The 17,422-nt window shown below is 36.3% G+C and overlaps 1 protein-coding gene across 15 annotated transcripts in view; it reads right to left on the bottom strand.

The window, feature by feature from the left end:
* Positions 1–17,422, bottom strand: part of RASSF8 (Ras association domain family member 8) — a 121,658-nt gene that overhangs the window by 42,976 nt on the left and 61,260 nt on the right. The window contains exon 4 of one of the 15 annotated variants that reach the window (XM_047428189.1): positions 1,811–1,814. The exons of 13 other annotated variants lie outside the window; for them this stretch is intronic. The gene's annotated coding sequence lies outside the window, so the exon portion shown is untranslated. Of the gene's footprint in view, positions 1–1,810; positions 1,815–8,839; positions 9,161–17,422 lie in introns of those variants that run through there. One more of the 15 variants, XM_047428192.1, reaches the window with a different exon arrangement.

The following is a 17,422-nucleotide window of genomic DNA, read 5'->3' as shown; positions in this document are numbered from 1 at the left end:
GATGGAGTCTTGCTCTGTCGCCCAGGCTGGAGTGCAGTGGTGTTATCTCGGCTCACTTCAACCTCTGCCTCCTGGGTTCAAGTGATTCTCCTGCCTCAGCTTCCCTAATAGCTGGGCGTGTGCCACCAAGCCTGGCTAATTTTTTATTTTTTTATTTTTTATTTTTTTAGTAGAGACAGGGTTTCACCATGTTGGCCAGGCTAGTCTTGAACTCCTGACCTCAGGTGATCCACCTGCTTTAGCCTCCCAAAGTGTTGGGATTATAGGCGTGAGCCACTGCGCTCGACCAGACATACACTTTTTAAAAAATTCAAGTTACCAGTCTTCTGGGCTATATTAAATATTAAATATTAGTCTCAAAGTCATCTTGGCTCTTTTAAAATAAAAATTAGGACATCTTACATTAAAATTTAAAAAATGAAACTGTTCCAAATGGCCCATATATAAAAATAACTTTCTAAAAAATAATAAATATTGAAATAAGTATCAAAATTTTAAGAATAGCTTAAATTTTTGTTAAATGCTTTTCTATTTATTCCTTGGTAAGAATTTTTCAGTTCAAGAAACAGAAGCCTTCTCTTTTTCTTGAAGGGATGGATGAAACAAAACAAAACGAAACAGAAACAGAAGCCATTGGTTTCCCCCGATGTGCCCTCCAATTATAAAGATATGATTCACAAAAAATATTCAGAGCGTCTCTGCCATTGCTGATCTTATCCAGAAGTTAGCGAGGAACATGGATTTAAGCAAGAGAGGCCCAGATGTAGATTAATATTAAAGAGATGAATGAGTGATCACTGGGAGTAAACTAGGTTGTTCTTGAATGGATTTGAGCTGAAGAAAAAAGCTAAAATGAAGAAGCTGTCATGGTATCTGCCCTTTAGACTGAGTTTGGGCCCTTATGCTCAGAGGAGTGAAATCATGGATGGCTTTATATATATATAAATTATAAATATATAATATATAAAAATATATGAAATATATGATATATATCATATATATGAAATCATATATGATTATAATTATATATAATATATAATATATAATTTTATTATATTTTATATAATACATAATTATATGAAATTATATTATATATAATTTCATATATTGTATATCTAGTGATGTATATCATATATATCAGATATATAGTGATATATGTATTATATGCTACTTGGGCTAGAAATGGAAGAACTTCACACAGTTAACATTTCTTTAAAAAAAAACAAGTGTTTATTGTAAGAGAAAAAATTTTAAGCCCAGAAAATACTGAAAAGGTGAAATTATATAATTATATAAAATTATATATATAATTATGTATACAATATAAAATTATATATACAATATATAATATAAAATATATACACTATATATAATTTTTATATATAATTTCATATAATTATATTATATAATTATATAATTTCATATAATTATATAATTATATAATATAATTATATAATTTCATATACTTATATTATATAATTATATAATTTCATATACTTATATAATTATATAATTTCATATAATTATATTATATGATTATATAATTTCATCTTTTCAGTATTTTCTGGGCTTAAAATTTTTTCTCTTACAATAAACACTTTCATTTTGTTTAAAGAAATATTAACTGTGTGAAGAAGTTCTTCTGTTTCTAGCCGAAGTAGCATTCTTCTCAGCCAACTTTGAAGACAGGGACTAGCTATCACTAAACCCTACAACTTATCATACAAGAGTAAAACTGGTTGGAAAGCCATTTCCACAGAGTAGGGGTCAGTGCCTTAGTACAGCCTAGAAGAGAAGTTCATTAACTAACCTTACTTCTAGGGATTAATAATTTTTACCAGTAGTATTGGACAACTGGAAAAACGTCTATTAAAGTTTATAGGGCAACACCAGAGTAATCACCATAATACCAAAAATAGGATAGTTCATAGTGACTAATTCACACAGAAATTAAAAACCAAATGCTATGACAAACAGTACCTAGAAAGGTAAAAGCAGTCTACAACAAACCAATGAGAATGCATCTACACTTGGTGAATCTGCTGTATGGTGTTTTTTAGTTAGATGTTTTTTTTTAATGTAGCTTAAATATCATGAATTTTAATAGGCACATTACATGGAAAAGATGTAATAAATAATTTTGCTGTGTTTGGATCTTATCCCACCCTTGTTTGATTTCCCCTCATGCATTCTAGCTAGGATGTAAAAAGTAGGAGGTTCCTTAATTTCGAAATATGGGAAATAAATGCTGGAGGAAAAGGAATAGGAGTTACTTAGCCTGTCAGAAAGAATAATGATCTTTTTCTCCCCCCTAAGATTATTTGCTTAGTCATTCCCACTGAAAAGAATGAGTTTAATTTTGGAAGTGGTAGGAATGATAGAAATCCTAGATCAAGCTTGTCCAACATGTGGCCTGCGGGCTGCATGCGGCCCAGATGGCTTTAAATGCGGCCCAACATAAATGCATAATCTTTCTTAAAACATCATGAGATTTTTTTTTTTTTTTTACTTCATCTGCTATTGTTAGTGTATTTTATGTGTTGCCCAAGTCAATTCTTCTTCCAATGTGGCCCAGGGAAGCCAAAAGATTGAACACCTCTGTCCTAGACAGACCATAGGGCTATTTTGTCCTGCCCCTGTGGACTTAGGGACATTGACACATCTCCCCTCACTCCTACTCCTTCACCCCCAAATCCCAGCTAATGCTGTGATTATCTTAGTTGAACAGTGTGCCACGTGCTTACCATTTGCCCACCTCACTCCAGCCCGTTCTTCAACTACTCCCCACCTTTGTGAGGCAGCCACATCTCCCTGCCCTGCCATGTATTGCTTCCTCTGCTTGGAACATCTTTCTCCCCACTCCACCACCACCTCCCTGCTAGCTTGCTGGGGTCTGGTCGACATGATGGTGGTGGGGAGAAGGCACCAGCAGATCCAAGTGCTTCCTCTTTGCTAGGCACATACAACGACTCAGAATAATCCACTGAGGTCATGTTTTTATTCTCATCCCCATTTTACAAATGAGGCCCTGGAGGCTCAGAAAGGTGAACTAGTTGGAGACAATACAACTGGTAGGAGATGGGAGCTGAGATCTGAGTGGAGGCTGATTTGAGAGTCCTGGCATTCAACCTTTATCTGGAAGGTGGCAAACTTGACAGGGACAAGGCAGATGTGCATATTAAATGCAAAGAAACAGTTTTCACCTCCACAAAGAAATATGCCATTAAAAAATTTCAATACTTGGCTCTACGTTTCTTTCTTTCTATGAAGATGGATACTATTCATCTTATGCCTCTATCATTAAAAAAAAGAAACCCAACAGTGTTTGCAGAACTTATTTCCTTTTTCCCTCCAAAATAACAATCTGGATAATCATATTAATATCATTTTTCTAGCAAAACCACTTACATTCTAGAAAATGCTAATGTGCTTTTAGCATGAAAGAATGAAAATAATACCTAAGCTTTAACACAAATATAGTGGAAAAATATAAAAAGATGTGGAAGATCTCATTATTCTTGTCATTTTATATTGTGAAATCAAAAACATGCTATAAAACAATTTGTGGGTTTTCTGTTATGACCTGAAAGATCACAATTTTTACTTAGTGCTTCAATACATACATGAGAAAATACCAAATTCTTTTGCTCAAAGGAACTCCAGCATACCTTGAAATGGCCTGAGAGCTGAGCCTCAGTTTTGGTAAGAATGTGGTCTCCCACTGATCAACTTGATCCCCTCTGGTCTCATTACAGAGTATTTATGATTCAGCTGAACCATTTAGCAACATTTAAACCATCCTTAGTATTTACCTCAGGGGAAAAGTCACATTTCAAGGATAGTTGAAGTATCTAATATATTTAGTTGCTACTCTAAAGAAGACAGGCCTGCTTGAAAACAAGATCACAGCATACATTGCTCTCTGCAGGACCTCTGTGGGTAGGAAGCTCTTTCTTTTAACTGATTATGTAATATTTTAGCTTTGGTAGTAAAAGATTCCAGATGTTTACTCTAACAGCTTTGTAGACACATGGGGATTGATGTTAGACACATAATCACTGGTTTTGGAGCAGGGCCAATTGTGTACATACGCTGTTTAATTATGTTGACACTCCAGACATTTCAAACATCAACAGAATTTCTCAGCTCATATTCCCATTATGATTCCTGCTTTAAATGATTATAGATGGGTATGGAAACTGGGCATTACGCATGCTAATGAAATCTATCTAGCTCTTTTCACTTTTAATAGATTTGGAGGTTTCATGGGTTAAAACTCCCTTAAGCTATAAATTGCAGGTAAATATAATAAAAAAACTGCCAGGAAACATTTCCCTCAGAATTTTTTGTTGCATGCTAATGTAGCAATTTCAAAAAAATTTGTCATTGTTCTCCTTCCTAAAAATTCACATGTCACAAGGGAACCTTTGACTCAGCCATGAAACAGTCCCAAGAGTCCTAGAACTTGACTTTGGGAAATACTTCTCCATACAAACAGTGCTAGAAGTTTGTTTTCTATCAACATTCCAAAGTTTGTTACCTAGATGATTTGGAACAACCTGCTATGAGTACGAAAAACATACACAGAATTTTAATGTATATTAATGACTCAAATTTCTCCCACTTCCTTTCGGGGAAAATGAAGCAATAACATACACAATATTCCCATAAACTTTTTAAAAGACATTTCAAAGTTTTATATGTGAAAATGCAAAATGACTAGCTCATCACAAGAAAGGATAAACTGGGCTAACAAACTGCTACAAACTGAAGGACCTTTTCAAAAAAGCAAGCTCAATGGAAAATTCCCTGATTGGTAAATTTTCCAGATACAAAATTTCCAAGCATCTCAAGACCATAGTTCTCCTAAGTCACTACTTCTGGGATATGGGAAGTTTCCTTCATGTACTGTAAGCTGCTGACATCATGCACATAAATGTAAACCAAAACATGTATTTCATCAAAGTAACTAACATGATGATGAGAAACAGGATATTTTGAAACATATTTATAAGCAAAACATATAGGTCAGATTAAGCCATTGAAGCATCTCCTCAGATTTTTTAGATTACTCTGAATAAGAAATATTTTCAAAAATGATGGAAATATCTGTAGTTTTACATGTGTGGCTGCTATTGAAATCTCTATTAACCCTCTTTTTCTCAAGTTCTCCCATTCCCACTCTGATCCCGCAGACCCTACCTAACAAGTGCCTTTAGAAGCAGGCAAGCATTTTCTAGTCCTCTATTTTAAGTCTCTCAGACCACCAACTACTTACCATTCTTACTGCCAACAGCAATAGTTCCAAACCTTTATCATCTCAGGTCCTTATAATTTTATAGTTGCTTACACCTCTCTGTGATCCACCTGGCACACTGCCACCAAATCTGACCCTGCCCTCAGTTGGGCTCAAATCCTGTTAGTAACTCTACTGGGCCTGTGGCAGAAGCTTAACAAAGGGCTGCTGATTGAGTTCAAGAACTCTACACTGATTTCACACCATCATGATGAGGATGGATGGGTCTCACGTGTAACGATGAGCCAAAATATACTTTGAGAATCCAAGTTAAATGGCAGTGTTTAGAAAAAAAAATACTGAAACAATCTAGCATCTTGGGGTGTTGGAATTTTAAAGGTTTGACAATTGGCAAAATCAAAGTAATCCAGAAATCTAACCCAATGTACTGGCAGAGTATCACAAACCCTCATAATACCTCAAAAAAAAATGGGGCAGGGGGAGTCTACAAGTTAAATTTGGCACCAAGTTACTAGTTGTAAAATAAAGCTTATTTGATTGTTGTCTCAGGCATTACGTAACTGTAAAGAGTCTTCATTTATACTGAAAGCTGCAGCAGTAAAAGCTGCAGACATATTTAAGAAGAAATATCATATTTCCTACTGCTTCAACTCACTGTTCCTGACCATCTTGAAGGGGTCTGCAAGTTATGGCCCGCTACCTGGTTTGTAAATAAAGTTGAATTGAAAACAGTCGGGTTCATTCATTTACGTACTGTCTATGGCTGCTCATGTGCTACAATGAAGTTGAGTAGTAACAACAGGGACCATATTGCCTGCAAAGCCTAAAATATTTATTTACCTAGCCCCAAAACCAGGCACTTGTCTGGTACAGTATGGGTGAGGAAATACTTTTTAAGTCCTAACTTTGTTCCAGAAGTTAATCTGGGCTGCTTATCTACTAAAATCTAAGTTTAGGAAAAAAAAAAAAGATAACTTCGGGGATGTCTATTTGGTTTGAAAAGAAAGAAGTTAAATATTATTCACTTGACTAACATGTATTTCTAAGTGGGAATTTCTGTTGCACTGCAACATCTCAGCATTTTTACTATGGCATTAGTAACAGCACTGCAGAGCATCACAGGCTGTAAAAACATTTCCATGTGTGATAGACAAAAACCCAATACCGGAATAAAAGGAATAGAATCCATCTTATCCGGACAAGTGGTTTTAAAAAGTCATCCTACAGAGCCCTGCAGAACTTTCATTGAAAACAAGCACAATTACATGGAATGAATTTGTTTCTGCTTCTTGTAGCCCCTCTACCTGGGCTTATAAACCATGAGAAAGAAGGAAGATTTACACTGTCACAGAAAATACTTAAAAACCAAGGCTTTTGAATAAAATGAGTTTTTATTTTCTCCTGAATAAAACATTATTTGGATCATGGGGGGAAAAAAACCTACTAAGAATTATTTTATCACTAAGTGTAATTAATACAAGTCACTATAATGTTTATCAATTATATACTAGAAAACAAATGAACTGAAATCAACTTTGAGACAATTTAGACATACGGTATCATAATCAAAATCCCAAGAGAAAGATACTTTATCTTTTTGCCACATTTTATTTCAAAATTTATTTTTACAAAAAATAAATTAGTTGCCCTAAACTCTTTTTAAATAAAGTGATGCACAAATAAGCAAACCAGCAAAGACTGTAATAAAAACAAAACTGACGATTTGGTGGTCATTTACTGGCAGACTAAACAAGTTAAGAATAAATATCTCTGAGGAAGCAAGCCAATTAAATGTTGGTTAGATGGCTGATTCAAAGATAAATAGTAGCCAGGAGTATAACTCGGACGTCATAGTTTGAGATTGATTTTTTTTTCCTTTAACCAGTGGGTAAAACTGTTTTTCTGTTATAATAATAATGGTCAACATTTAAACCAACAGAGAAGTTTTAAGTTTTAATAACAAAAGAGTGCCAAGGAAATGATCTTGTTCCTCAGAACAAAAAATAATCTGTTAAGGAAATATTTTGGATCTCAAATTAAGGCCAATCATGAGTACAGAGCACAGCTGATGATTAACAGAAGATGCCGCATTTAAACACGGTGGCAGAAGACACTGATTTACTTCTAATGAATATATAGTACATTATAAAAAGTGACAAAACATAAACATATGAATATAATGTAAACAACAGTAAAAAGAAATCTTTTTGTTTCTTGAAATTGGGGCTTATGGTTTTAGCCACCAGAGGTCACCCTTCCCCAGACAGATTAAAAAGCAGGGCTTCTGAAGCACTGTCACTTACTGTGTATTTGTTAAAGGAATACAATAAAAAATAACATGGGTTGTCAATGTTCTTCTTTCCCCAGCTAAAACATATGTGAGGCTAGACCTGCCCCACACCTCTCCCTAATGCAGACATGCTGGTAATGGAGAAGAGGAGAGCTGCAAACAGCCTGAGAGGCTAAAGTGATCTACATGATAGACATGAGAAAAATCACTGAGGGGCGAGGGACAGGATGCAGTTCCCTGGTAGAAGAGAGACTTGTGGAATAGCACCATGCTAATGAGGGATAATGGAGAAAACTGGAAGAGGTTTCCAGAATTCTTACTGTTATCATAAACACAACCACTCCTGGACATTCTTCAACTAACACTGCAGTAAAATTTTATACGGCTTTTTTCAATTAGTTTTGCATGTCAAACCTAAGTATCGTGCACCAAATTTGGCTTTTTTTAAAAAAGCAAATTAGCCAGGGTTCCTCCAGAATTCAACATATACTTTTACAATAGAATTGGAGAGAAAGAGATCTTTAATCTATCCTAGTGCCTTGTACAAAATATACTCAGCAAATACTCTTCCTCATTCATCCCTCCTTACATATAATAAAGAGACCTTTAATTCATCATAGCACCTTATACAAAATATACCCAGTACACTCTTCCTCATTCACCCCTCCTTACATATAATACAAGAAGGAGCTGACAACCAAAAGTTTCAACCTCTTTTGTTTCAATTCTGTTAGTTAAGAGGGCCCAATTCTATTTATTGTCACTTACCGTAGCTGCAAGAAGTAAAATTCAAAGGTTAGAGTGGTTTTTAATAATTTCATGTACGTGGCCAAGGAACATGTAGACATTTATGATTACCAAGAAATTACAACCTTCCAAAGCACAGTATTTATTCCATGTAGCACCAAAGGAAATCCCAAAGAAAAGGTACTTAGCAGCCTAGTAGAAGTCCTTAGCAATTTCTTTGTGAAATACTTGGTTAGAATTCATTGTCTCACATTCCAACACACTGGCAAATAAGGTTATCACACATCATCATATCTTTTGATACCTAACAACTTTTTTCTCTAACTACATAGGAAAAGTACGCTCATTAAAAGATATTCAGAAAATGAAAAAGGCTTTTAGAAAATAAAATCACCTATACTTCCAAAGAGTACAGGGAAAGAAAATGAAGTTCTGAGTGAAACACTTTTAAAACACACAAATTAAATTTATACAGTCTCAAATTCTTTTAATTATAATTCATCCACATTATTCCCAAATCAACTATAATCTGTCCCCTGCTTTACCAATGACATAGTTCCAACAGGTTCACCAAGACCCCGATGCTGCATGGGCTTTCTTCATACTGTTTCCTATTTCCTTGCACCATCTTTGATGTCCCCAGAGCATCTGCACAGCTGACGTTCCTCACAGCCACTCCTTTGTCCTGACTTCTACATCCCGTTTTCCATGGCTTCTCCCACCCATCTGGTCATTCCCCTCTGTCATCTTCTGGGCTGTTCTTTTTCAGGCTAACATTATTGAATTTCTGGCTCAGTCCTCTATGCTTCTCATTCTATCCCCTCTCTCCCTAGGTGACCAAAGTAACACTCATGGCTTCAACAACTGAAACTACATGTTGATGTGCCTAACACATAATAGGTGCTTAATAAATGTTTAATCTTATCAATGGCTTAATGATTAGTAACTTTCCAATCTAATCTCCAGGAAATTCTCAGCTCCAAGGCCACAACCACACAGCAGAAGTCTCTTAGCACAGTTGAGACTGGTAACTGGCTGGTTAATCATAAAAGCAGGTTAAAGCAGTGAATCATGAAAACATGAAAGCATTTTGTACACTTAACTTTAACCAGATAAATACCCATTCATCTGCCAATATTTTTATAGTCAGGCCAACTCTTAAGTGAGGGCCTGCTGACCCTTCAGTGTCTTTCTTGCCTAAATCATACCCATGGTGAATTATCGGTGCTATCCAGCTTCTGTTTGTTTGTTTAAACAACAGCTTTACTGAGATATCATTAACATGCCATACAATTCACTTTAAGGCATACAGCTTGATAGTTTAAATATATTCACAAAATTATGGAACTATCACCAGTTACTTTTGGGACATTCTCATTACCCAAAAAATAACCCACATACCTATTAGCATTCACTGCCCATTTCCCATCAAATCCCCAGCCATAGGCGATCATTTACTTCCTTTCAGTCTCTATGGATTTGCCTACTCTGGATATTTCATATAAATAAAATCATACATGTGGTCAAGAATCATCCATATTGTAGTAAATATCTGTATTTCATTTTTTTATTGCCAAATAATATTTCATTGTATTGTTATATCACATCTATTAATTCAGATCATTTGGGTTGTTTCTATTTTTGGCTATTATGAATAATGCTGCTATGAACATTCATGTACAACTTTTTGCATGGACATATATTTTAACTTCACTTGGGTATGTAATTAGGAGCAGAATTGCTGGGTCATATGATAACTCTATGTGTAACATTTTCAAGAACTGCCAGACTGTTTTTCAAGGTAGCTGTAATATTTTACATTCCCACCAACAGTGTATGAGAGTTCTTATTCTTCACAATCTCACTCACACTCCTTATTAGCTGCCTTTTAAAATTAATATTACGCCTATAATCCCAGCACTTTGGGGGGCCGAGGTGGGCGGATCACTTGAGGTCAAGAGTTCAAGACCAGCCTGGGCAACATGGTGAAACCCTGTCCCAACTAAAAATATAAAAATTAGCCGGGCATGGTGGTGTGTGCCTGTAATCCTAGCTACTTGGGAGGCTGAGGCAGGAAAGTCACTTGAACCCGGGAGGTGGAGGTTGCAGTGAGCTGAGATCACGCCACTGCACTCCAACCTGAGCAACAAAGCGAGACTCCATCTCAAAAAATAAAAAATAAACTAACTAATATTACAGCCAACTTAGTATGAAATCATATCTTATTTTCATTTTCATTTCTCTGAAGGCTAATAACGTCAAACATCTTTTCATTTGCTGATTGGCCATTTGTACATAGATATTTGTCTACTGAGATACTTTGTCAATTTTCTAATGGGACTATTTGTCTTTTTTACGATGAAGTTCTTATATACTCTAAAAACAAGCTCCTTATCAAATTATTTGCAAATATTTTCCCATTAAAGTTGTCTTTTCACTTTTGATGGTGTCATGTGAACACAAATCTTTAATTCTGATGATGTCCTGTTTACCTATCTTTTCTTTTGTTGCTTGCACATTTGATGTCATTTCTAAGCAACTACTATTTAATTCAGGATCAAGAGGATTTATGCCTAAGTTTACGTCTATGAGTTTTATAGTTTTTCTTCTTACATTTAAGTCTTTGATCTACTTAATTTTTATATACGTGTATATAGGGGGCTAACTTCACTCTTTTGCACTTGGATATCCAACAGATCCATGAACATGAGATGTCTTTTTTTTTATTTTGGTCTTTAATTTCTTTCAACAATGTATTATAGTTTTCAGTGTATAACTTTTGCAATTTTTTGTGAAATTTATTCCTAAGCATTTTATTCTTTTTGATATTATAAATAGAAATATTTTCTGAATTTCATTTTTCAATTGTTTACTGATAGTATATAGAAATGCAATTAAATTTTGCATACTGATCTTGTATCCAGCAATCTTGTTGAATAGTTCTAATAGGTTTTTAATGAATTCCTTAAGATTTTTCCATATGCAAGGTAGTATTCTCTGCAAACAGAGTTAGTTCTTTTTCCTTTCCAATCTGAATGCTTTTTTTTTTTTTTTTTTGAGACAGAGTCTCACTCTGTCGCCCAGGGCTAGAGTGCAGCGGTGCGATCTCGGCTCACTGCCAGCTCCATCTCCCGGGTTCACGCCATTCTCCTGCCTCAGCCTGCCGTCCCGAGTACCTGGGAATACAGGCGCCCGCCAACACGCCTGGCTAATTTTTTGTATTTTTAGTAGAGACGGGGTTTCACTGTGTTAGCCAGGATGGTCTCGATCTCCTGACCTCGTGATCTGCCCGCCTCGGCTTCCCAAAGTGCTGGGATTACAGGCGTGAGCCACCACGCCTGGCCCTGAATGCCTCTTATCTCATGTTCTTGCCTAAGTGTCTCGCCTAAAACCTCCATCACAATGTTGAATAGAAATGGCAAGGGTGGAAATCCTTCTTTCTGATCTTCAGGAGAAAGCATTCAGTCTTTTGGCTGCGTGTGTGCGTGTGTTTATATGCCATTCATCAGGTTGACAAAGTTCCCTTCTATTCCTAGTTTGTTGAATGTTTTTTATCATAAAGAGGTGTTGAATTTTGTCAAATGCTTTTTTTATTGAAATAATCATGTAGTTTTTGTTCTTTATTCTATTGATGTAGTGTATTAAATTGACTTTTTTTTTTGAGACGGAGTCTCGCTCTGTTGCCCAGGCTTTGGAGTGCAGTGGCACAATCTTGGCTCACTGCAAGCTCCGCCTCCCAGATTCATGCTGTTCTCCTGCCTCAGCCTCCCAAGTAGCTGGGGCTACAGGCGCCCGCCACCACGCCCGGCTAATTTTTTGTATTTTTTAGTAGAGACAAGGTTTCACCATGTTAGCCAGGATGGTCTTGATCTCCCGAACTAGTGATCCACCTGCCTCAGCCTCCCAAAGTGCTGGTATTACGGGCGTGAGCCACAGCGCCCGGCCTAAATTGACCTTTTATATGTCTAACCAACCCTTGCATTCCTAGGAAAAATCTCACTTGGTTACAGTGTACAGTCATTTTTATACACTGCTAAATTTAGTTTGCAAGTGTTTTTTGAGAATTTTTGCATCTGTATTTATTTAAAAATTGCTGTGTAGTTTTCTTGTAAAGTTTTGTCTGGTCTTGGTATCAGGGTAATTCTGGCCTCGCAGAATGAGCTGAGACATGTTCTATCCTACTTTTGGAAGAGTTCATGAAGAATTGGTATTAACTCTTGCTAAAATGTTTGGCAGAATTTACCAGTGAAGCCATTTGGACGGAGACTTTTCTTTGTGAGGAGATCTTTATTCCAATGAGATACAGAAATGTTACTCCAGGCTGGGCGTGGTGGCTCATATCTGTAATCCTAGCATTTGGGGAGGCTGGGGTGGGAAGATTGCTTGAGGCCAGGAGTTCAAGACCAGCCTGGGCAACAGAGCAAGACCTCATCTCAATTCAAAATTTAAAAAAAGAAAATAATGAATTGTTATTCCAGTACAAGTATTTCCTCTTCCCAGTTTTTGTGTCTTTATTGTGATACATACTATGTAAGACAATATCTATGTACCTTACAAACCCCAAAATAAGCCATTACACTTATTACTTTGTAGAATTATTTGACTATCAAATAAATGAGCTGAGGTAAGTAAGAATGGCAAGCATATAGACAGAATTTGCTATGTTAATCTTATTTACCATTCCTCGTTCTCTTCATTTCTTCCTGTGGATTTATCATGTGGTATAATTTCCTTATTCCAATACATCTTTGCATCACCTATCATCTCCTTTGTGTTGGTGTTATGAAATATATTACATCTCCATCTTTTGAAAACTCAACAATCAAATCTATACTTTTTTTATAATTTCTTTTAAAATCAGTTACTAGAATAAAAAAAGAACAAACACACATCTATACTATCTTTTGTAATTAACTAATTACCTTTCCTGTTTTTTTTTGTTTTTTGTTTTTTTTGTTTTTAATGCGGATTCAAATTACCGTCTGGAGTTACTTGCTTTTATCCCAAATAACTTCCTTTAGTATTTCTTGTTAAGATGGATCTGTTAACAACAAATTCTCTCAAGTTCAGTTGATCTGGAAATGTGTTCATTTTGCATAAAATTGTTAGTTAAAAATTCTTTTTCAGCTTTTTGAAAGTGATCCCACTCACTGACTTCTGATTTTCATTGTTTCCGATGAGAAGTCAGCTATTAATCTTAATGTTTCCTTTTAAGCAATAACACTTTTCTATTGCTGCTTTTTAAGATTTTCTCTTTATCTTTCAGCATTTTTACTATGATGTGTCTCTTTGTGTTTATCTTACTTGGAAATTGTTGAGCTTTTTGAGTGTATAATGTTTTCTATCAAATCTCAGAAGTTTTCAGCTACTTCTTTTAATTTTTTTATTCCTTTTTCTTCCCTCTCTCCTTGTAGTACTCCCATTACATAGGTCAGTGCCCTTAATGATGTCCATATTTTTCTCTGAGGCTGTGTTCATTTTTCTTCATTCCTTTTTCTGTCTTTTGAATTGCATAATCTTTACCTATCTATCTTCAGGCTCATTAGTTATTTCTTCTACCAGTTGAAATCTACTGGCCAGGCATGGTGGCTCACACCTGTAATCCCAGCACTTTGGGAGGCCGAGGTGGGTGATCACCTGAGGTCGCGAGTTTGAGACCAGCCTGACCAACATGGAAAAACCCCGTCTCTACTAAAAATACAAAATTCAAAATTACAGGCTGTGAAGGCACATGCCTGTAATCCCAGCTACTCGGGAGGCTGAGGCAGGAGAACTGCTTGAACCCGGGAGGCGGAAGTTGCAGTGAGCCGAGATCGCGCCATTGCACTCCAACCTGGGCAACAAGAGCATAAAACTCTGTCTCAAAAAAAAAAGAAAGAAAGAAATCAACTGTGGAGCCCCTTTAGTAAATTTTTTTTGTTATTATACTTTTTACTCTAGAATTTCAATTTGATTCTTTTTTATAATTTTTTTATAATTTCTATCTATTTACCAATATTCTCAATTTGATGAGGCAGTGTATCATATCTTCCTTTACTTCTACAAGGATGGTTTCCTCTGACCTTTAAGTTTTTTCTGTTAAATTTCACATCTGGGTCCTTTCATAATTTGTTGTTTACTGTTTTTCTTGTGTATGGGGCACACTTTCCTGTTTCTTTGCATGTGTCAGATTTTTGCTCAAACCTGGACATTTTAGGTAATGTATTTAATCAACTGAATTTACTGAGACCTCTCCTCCCTCTCTGGGCTTGTCTTTGTTGCTTTATTTGTTGAGTAACTTGACTATTTTGGGAAGTCTATTTCTCCTGCAGCGTGAAGCCTTTGGTGCTACTCCTCGGAGGGTCAGCACTGGGCATGCACACAGTTACCAGCAATGACAGTGTCATGTTAGCAGGACTCTGTCTCTTTCCCTTATCTCTCTTTTGCCTCATCTGGTATCCCGCTCAGCTTTGTAGCTCAACCAATTCCCAGCTGATTGCTCTATTGTTTTCAACAATGTTCTAGAGTATAAATTGTTTCACAGTCTCATCCAAATAAACTAGGGGGTGGGGTTCTTTGGCCAGTCTTTGAGGTTTGATCTGACCCCTCAAGAGGGAGCGCTCTTCTTAGCTCCTTCTCTGATTCTCTTTTGTGAATTAGTTGGCCTATGTTTAGCCTACTGCTCTTAAAAGAAGCTAGCAGTGGGCTCTTATTTGCTTACCACCAAAGCCTCTCGTTTCTGAAAGCATCCTTAGGCTTGAAGTTCCCCACACTGTGCTTCAAATAAAATCAATTCCTTTGGGGAGGGTTTTTGGAGTTCTCTGTTCTTACAGACTGCTTCTCTCAGTGGGCAAAATCTCTCAGCCACTGCTCTGGGGGCTGGGTAGGGGGAGCAGTCTTTGGTATTCTTGGCTTGCCTTTCTCAGTGTTGAACTTCTCTCCCTTACAAGCAAGGTAATGGCAGCTTGAGAAGCTGCACAGACCTGCACCTTACAAGCAAGGTGGGGTGAGGGCAATTAGAGCCCCAGTATTCTAGGCTTGCCACACCTGGGGTAGAAACTCTGCCCTATGCGTAGGGGCTGGGTGGAGGAAGAGAACCTCTGACCACATTGGCACACTCACCAGGAGTTTAGCCTCTGTAACTTAAAGCTGGAGGGGATGATAAATGCTAGCAGTTTGCTCTCCCAGTGAAATATGGTTTCCCCTCATTGGGATCTGTAGAGCCCTTAAGACCTGATCACCTCATAAAGGTCTCACCTCTTAATACTGTTGCAATGGCAACTAAATTTCCATGTGAGTTTTGCAGGGGACAAACATTCAAACCATAGCAGAGTGGGTCATAGCTCAAGTGCAGGACTTGCTGTTCTGACCAAGTTTTAGATTTTCTTAAATATATGTTTCTTCATTTGTTGAGTGTCTGTAGGACAATTTCCAGTAATTTTATTATTTTTTTTTTGAAAATAGTTTTTACCAATTATGTTTGTTTTGCTGTGGAGCAGGTCTGTGCAACTTCTCAAGCTGCCATTTTCAAAGGGGAGCTCCAGTTTCTATATTTTAGGTATAGAAAGAAGGAAAAGATTTTCGAAGTAATTGGAGTAAAGAATTCTCCTAGATTTTTACATTTTATTCCAATAGTTATGATAAACAAAAAACAAATACTGCAACTTTACAAAGTGCTAGACATTGCCCTGAGTGCTTAGAAAATATTAATATATTTAGTCCTTCGTAAGATACACATGTTGTTTTACTTTCCTCATCTTATAGATGAGAACATAGGCCCCAAAAGCTTCAGAAATTTTCTCAGGTCACACAGCTAAGTGGAAAAGCAAGGTTTAAACAAAGGAAAATTAACTTCACAGACTGTATTTTTTTATTTCACTTTTTTCCCTAGAAATAGATACTTAAAATTTGGTTCACAATGTAAGTAAATTTTTAAGTCTGTGTATTAAATGGTAGTCTTTTTTTTAAACTTAAATATTGTTTAAATATAATTTCCAACGGCTGCATAATTTTGTTCCATATTGGCAATTTAGTTTTCACTTTCACAGCAGATAGCTCAGCTCATGTCTCATTACCTCCTCACCCGCACTGAAAACAATATTCTTTTAAAAAAAAAGTTTCAATCTCTTTGTAAAGTGTTTTCTCTTATGGTTGGTTTATTTTATATTTACAATCTATTTTTACATTTGTTTCAGTACAAAGTGCAGTAGTTTCCTGGAGATGCAGTAGCAAATTACCACAAACTGGGGGAGCATAAAAACAACAAAAATTTTCCTCTCATAGTTCTGGGGGTCAGAAGCTCAAAATCACTTTCACTGGGCTGAAATCAAAGTGCCAGCTGGGCCAGGGTCCCTCCAATGGTTGCAGGAGAGAAAGCTTTCCTTGTTTTTCAAGCTGTTGGTGGCTTCAGGTGTTCCTTGGCTTGTGACCACGTCACTCTAATCTATGCCTCCACAGTTCAACAGCCTCATCATCTTCTGTGCCTCTACCACTCTCCTGTAAGGACCCACCAAGATAATTCAGGGTAAGTCCCTCTTCTCCAGATTTTTAACTGATTTATTTTGCTATATACAGTAATATTCTCTATTTTGCCATAAAAGGTGACAAGAATTTACTTGAGATATACACCAAATGTGATCCTTAACACATTCATTTTCTTCCTGTTACATCCTAGACAAATGCCATAAAGCTGCAAATTTTAAGCTGTAGCTCTGAGGTACCTCAGAGACACATAGTTTAAAAATAATTATCAACCAATCAATATCCAGAAAAATTAATTCCCCCTTATAAGAGAATTATCTAAGTCACAGTTTAAAATACAGCATTAAAATCCATGTTTTTGCCTAATCCAAACATTCCTTTAAAGGAAAAATAACTCCTACTGGGGCTACAATATGACATAATAAAAAATAGTAATAATTTTTAAAAATAACATGGTACCCTTCTGCAAAGTGATAAATCTTCTACAACCAGGAATCCTTTTAAATTTCAAGATTTCTTTTAAGTCAATTTAGTTATACACACAGACACACACAGACACACACACACACACACACACACACACACACACACACACAGTGTATGCCCGAACTTCCACACAAGCCTGTGCCTGAAGAACATTTATGTTATTTAGTCTGTTCTGGGAGCCA

Source organism: Homo sapiens, chromosome 12 (assembly GCF_000001405.40).
Source record: "Homo sapiens chromosome 12, GRCh38.p14 Primary Assembly".
Taxonomy (NCBI): Eukaryota; Metazoa; Chordata; class Mammalia; order Primates; family Hominidae; genus Homo; species Homo sapiens.
Note: the sequence above shows the minus strand (reverse complement) of the source record. Positions and strands in the feature narration are given on the sequence as shown.